We start from the raw sequence: 5,772 nt of genomic DNA, 5'->3' as shown, positions 1-5,772 counted from the left end.
ACTTATAAGGACCCCAGTTTTATTGGATTACAGCCCACACCAATGAACTCCATTAACCTTATTTATCTCTTTAAAGACCCAATCTTGAAATACAGTCACATTCTTAAGCACTGAGGTTTAGGATACCAAACATGAATTTTTTGGGGTGGAACACAATTCGGGCTATGACAATCCGCAATAGAGGTCACACCCATTATAAGTAATATCTAAGTAGCCATAACCAACTGTATAACCAATAACAACTTCCTGGCTCTTCTTTTGTTTCTTTGTTTTTTTTTTGAGATGAGGTCTCACTCTGTCACCAGGCTGGAGTGCAGTGGCATGATCTTGGCTCACTGCAGCCATAATCTCCAGGGCTCAAACGGTCCTCCCGCCTCGGCCTCCAGAGTAATTGGGACTACAGGTATGTGCCACCACACCTGGCTAATTTTTTTATTTTTTAAATTTTTTGTAGAGACAGGGTTTCCTCGTGTTACCTAGGCTGGCCTCAAACTCCTGGCCTCAAACAATCCACCGACTCTGGCCTCCCAAAGGGCTGGGATTACAAGCATGAGCCACCATGCCTGGCCACTTGCCCTTCTTTTAAAAGGATTATATGTCCCCACCTTCTGCAATTTGATTGGCAGTGCCTCCAATGGAAGGGATAAATATTCATGCCCATTGCCGTCAGGCTCAGCCATGTGACTTGATTTGGTCCACGCAAAGTGAGTGTGTGTGCACACTTCACTACCAAGCAGAAGTTTTAAGAGCCATTGATTGTTTTCTTTAGCTATCTTACTCTTTTCTGTCTGCCACAAGGACCATATATCTCAAATAAGCGCTGCTCCTTCAGCCTAGTGCCCAGAATGAGCACTTTTTAGCTTTCAATGAGACATATTGGGCAGAGCTGCCTAGATAAGAAGCTGCTGCTAATGCACAAAGTCAAGTGACAAGTATATGGTTTTGGTTAAGTCACTGGGATTTGGAGGGATTGCTACTGCACTAAAGCTGCCGAATGTGATAACCAACAATGTATTATCCACAGATGCATATATAGCTCATTCGTTTTCCTTAAATTAATGGAAGGAATAGAAACCTGATATGCCATTGATAAGGTAATTCTAATAAACCCACACTGCAAAAAGAGGAGCAGGGTATCAAAAATTTCATGAGGGATCAAAGACTTATTTATTGGACATTGGACATTCTTAGTACTTTTCCCATTTATATTATATGTAAGAACATGGGAGCTTCCCTCATGCGTAAATTTTCTCTCGAATATACAGGAATTACAGATTTTGCAGGCAGAATGGCAGCTTTTCAGCCCTGCTTTCCTTGTTCTGGAGAGAAATCTTCTTCTGTTCTTGGAGAATCACAGTGGATACAGAAAGTAGGAACTGTCTGCTCTCACTTGGCAAACACAAAGGCTCTGTAATGCGGTAGCACTTCACTCACACCAGTATCAAATTTACCAAAACACATGCTAGGTTCACAACTCAATTAAAGAACCATTCTTCAACTTTCTCTTATTTCCCAGTTTCTAAGTGAACGTGACAACTGAGCCAAAATGTAAGGAATGAGCAGGATTTGAGCTGCTCAGACAGGAGAAAGACATTTAAGGCAGATGGTGCAGCTTAAACAAAGGCACGAAGTATGTTGGAATATAAGCCGTTGAGGGTGGTTGGAGCAGAGGGTAGAGGAGTGGCTACAGATAGGATTGACAACTTAGCTGGAGGACCACCCTTGGAGGCCAGTGTCCTTGGTTCTACACCAGAGCACAACTCAACAAACAATGGGTAAACACTTTTAAGTTTTATGGATCATAAATTTATATGTTTCTACCTGATTTTAAAATGACTTCTCCATAATAAATACATCATTTTGCATAGCAGTTAAAAACATGGGTATTTTCAGCAGACAGCTGAATTCCATACTATAGCTTCTCCATGGGTGTGCCCTACTGAACCTGGGTACATTGATTAACCTACCTGAGGCTCAGTTACTTCTTCTGAATAATGGTGGTAATAGTGATCATCATCCTTCTATAATGAGGATCATTGGCTATAAAGATGCATGTAAATTCTTGGCAAAATATCAGTGTCAAAAGTAAAAGTTCCAGAAATGGTGCTTTCTGAAACTGTTGTTATCACCATTGTTCAGAAATGAAAGCTTAGTCATATGCCCCTATGAGGTTTGACCACCTACACCCCTTAGTCGTGCTCTGACATTCTAAATACTGCTTCTTATCTGTCCTACAAGGTGCTTAAGACAAAGTCAGGAAGAGACATGACAATTCCTTGATTGATGTGGACTAAATGCAGAGCCATAGTTATGCCTCTCAGTGCCTGTCTCAACTCAAACAGGGCTAAGCTCACACAGTTCAAAGGCAGCTCAGCTGAAGGCCTGTCTTTCCATGGTGACCACACCAGATACAATCATGGAGCAGGAAAGAAAGAGAATGTCCCTGATGACTCCTGTTCTGGAGACTCTCTGGGAAATCAGTCTTCTTGGCCACTATCAAGGCTTGGGGGCAGCTTGGATTGAAAACTGTGGCACTGCATTAGTAGGCAACTTTCCTCCATGAAAATATTATTTTTCTTTCCTTTATTGAATTACTGGCTTCATTATTTTGAAATTTATTTGGGAGAGGAAATTTCTGCCTTCCTTGAATTAAAACCTGTGGTTAGGCAGCGGTTCTTTTGTACGTATGACGTTTGCTAGGGTTTTGAAGAAAGGAAGGGATGAAGGAAAAGAAAATGATGAGGATAAAACCACCAGTTGTCTTATTTCTTCTTAAATATTTTCTAGTTTCAGATGAAAGTGTTTGATCACTGAGTATTTAAAACAATATTGTACTGTGAGAATTTTGAGAGAGTGTTGTCAGAGAAATGAGGAATGGCATGATCCAGAATCATTTTTCCCTTTTCCCACAAAAATGAAAACATGAGCACAGGGCTTAAATGGACAGTAAACATTGGTATTTTTTTTTTGCACTATTTCCCCAAAATCTAACCAGAAAAGTTACTTCCCTTATCAATCACATAATCTTAATAAATTATATTGACCTAGTTTATGATATGGAATATCAGTTGGAGTGTCCTAGCTGCTTTTTTATTGCTGATGGGTTGAGTGTTCCCCTTAAATAACACATTTCTATTAGGTGATACTGACTATTCTAGATAATGTTGTTTTAAATAAATGAATTACAGCAATCAGTTCTCTCTCTCTCTCTCTCTCTCCCATATCTCCTCTATTTTCCTCTCTGTCTGTCTCTTCTTCTTCTTTCCTTCTGTTCTCTTTCTGAAATTCTTTTGTTTATCTACCATTCATTCATTTAATCTACATTTACTAGCACTTAAAGAAGCTTGGAGAACAGAGCAGGGAAGACTTGGAAAGAATCATAATTCAGAAAGATACAGCAGCCCCTCATCAATCATAAAGGTAAGATTTCTCAAAATAGTCAAGGGAAAAAATTAAGTTCTTAAAGGCATAAATCAGATGAGTGTTTTGAACTAACATGCAGGCCTTTTAAACTGCCTATTTTTATTACCTGCAATAACCAAAATAGAATGTCCTCTGTTTTTCCTATTTTCAAACTTCAAGTTCATGACTACCTCTGACTGGGTTCACTGAGTTTCCAGAGACACAGAGTGGTTTGACTTTTGGTGTGAAGGGTGAGAAAAAAATTATTTTAATAACTGGTTAACTTGGTTTGCTTATTAGGCAAATAAATTGATACATATCTCTGCCTAATTTTTAGGATATAGCATGATGTTGATGACAGGTGGGGAATTACCTGTTCATCATTGAAGCTCCAGAAGATGTGAGATGCTCAGCTCAGAGTCTGTTTGCCAGGTGTTTCTTCTCACATGGCCTGGAGGGAGGGGTGGGATGACTTATAAATATGCTTCTGCCAAGGAGACAGTGAATGCCCAGACTGGAGTATATTTCTTAAAAAAAAAATACCCGCAGAGTTGGATTAAAGGAAAGATATGTGTTTACATCCATTTTGGTGTATTACTACCCTATTAACAATAAATGCTTTTATGTTTATGTTCTGTTAAAAAAAATCATACCAGTAGTCAACTCTCATGGAAACAACTGACTTAATTAGCAAAATACCTTAATTAACCACTTGAGATTAGGAGCTGAGTCACTGAGAGCATTGGTTAGAAAACAACAGGACATTAAAGAAAGAGCTCAACTGCTCTCAGTTAGAAAAACACAGGAATATGGGAATGAGAGAGGAGAAAAGAAAGAAGATTTTTTTTTTAAAGAGATGACCAAGTCACGTGCCTACAATTTCCATGAGAATTTTCAGAAATTTTTATGTCCAATCTTAGGGTGCATTCTGTACTGCCTGTAAGCTCCTTCTATCTGCCTAAAATTGCAGTAAAGACCTTGAGTAATTTGTTTCTTTGTAAAAATAATAGAAAGGGGTTGGATCTATGTTCAATCAGTGCCAAGATGTGAATAACAAAAAATAGCAGCAAGCATGGGGCATGGAATGATTCACCGGTACCTGGAAGTCACGGCTAGAGCTTATTATGAGGACATAAACCTCCCCAAGAATTTAAAGTGCATGGGTAATGGAGGCAAAATTCTGGGCAGTAAGGAAAAGAAATCCAGAAGTAGAGACACATTTATTGGAATTACCCAACAAAGAAACTCACTGCTGGGGAGTGATTACTGTATATTCCTAATGGAGATTTGCACAAAACCTTTTGGAGTCCCCAAGGATAGAATGACTAACTGAGTTGAACAGAAAGGAATTCGCCCTATGTATGAGAATTTGGTTGAATGACCACTTGCTCAATGTAGTCCGTTAATGATGACTAAAGCAGACAGTTCTTGCTAGACAAAATTTCCTTCAAATTCCTCAATATAACACTCCTGCTAGGGGGATAAGTACAATCCGCTAATGAGAGCCATTGCTGGAGTGCCCAAAGGCCATTCTCTGATTGGATTCTCCTCTCCATGTCCTCTCTAAAATCTCCCCTGTCCTACAGGGCTTCAGCGTTGGAGCATCTGAGTACCAGCCAGGTAGACAAGTATGAGGAGTTTGCTTTCAGTCATAAAGCATTCAAGGACCTGAAATAAGTCCAGGAAGACCACCCTTTGGTGTCCCAGGAGGAAAATCCTTAATTAGTATTGAGTTAGAGCCAGTAAAAATAAGTTCCCACATCCAAGAGTATAAGCTGAGCCAAATCAGGAAGAGAAACCTAGACTAGAAGGAAAAAAAATTGTAATAAGATGGGAGAAATTTAAGGGATAGGACAGAGGAGATTGTCTCAGTTGAACTGATGGGTCCCTGGCTTATATGTATTTGCTGTCAGCCATTTGGTTTGGGTTTCTGGCTGTGTTGGTTCAACTTAAACGTACAGGTTCAGTACAAGTTGTGCAAAGAAAAAGCACAGAGAACTCAATGGTAGCTGAGTCCTCACAAGAGTGACAGAACCCAGAATGACACAGAAGTTCTGGTTAATTCCCCAAATCAGTGACCAAGGCTTTGTGGTATAGTTGAAAGAAGATCAAATTTAAAGGAAAGCAAGAATGATTGATTCCAAACTTGTTGAAAAAATTACTAGTTTTTTGTTTGTTTGTTTGTCTTTAGTTCAGGAGACCTGCTTCATGGATCTGAGCCTATACAAATTAAAATTTTAAAAAAATACCTACTTTGCCAGGCTGTCTGTAAGGATTAAATAAACTACGCCTGTGAAAGTAAATCATGTAGTGTTTAGCAAATATTCATTTGCATCTTTTTCTCCCTGCCTCTTTTCTTCCCTTTCTCTC

General features: G+C 39.2%; 1 annotated feature.

Annotated features, from left to right (window-relative positions):
* Positions 791–1,085: a silencer, noted in NCBI's record as "tiled region #4879; HepG2 Repressive non-DNase unmatched - State 24:Quies, and K562 Repressive DNase matched - State 7:EnhWF". NCBI's record gives its function as "represses a minimal TATA promoter and a strong SV40 promoter by Sharpr-MPRA in HepG2 and K562 cells {active_cell/tissue: HepG2 | K562}" and the evidence as "EXISTENCE:reporter gene assay evidence [ECO:0000049][PMID:27701403]".

The sequence above is a fragment of the Homo sapiens genome, chromosome 7 (assembly GCF_000001405.40).
Source record: "Homo sapiens chromosome 7, GRCh38.p14 Primary Assembly".
Classification (NCBI taxonomy): domain Eukaryota; kingdom Metazoa; phylum Chordata; class Mammalia; order Primates; family Hominidae; genus Homo; species Homo sapiens.
This window is presented reverse-complemented; position numbering and strand designations above follow the sequence as displayed.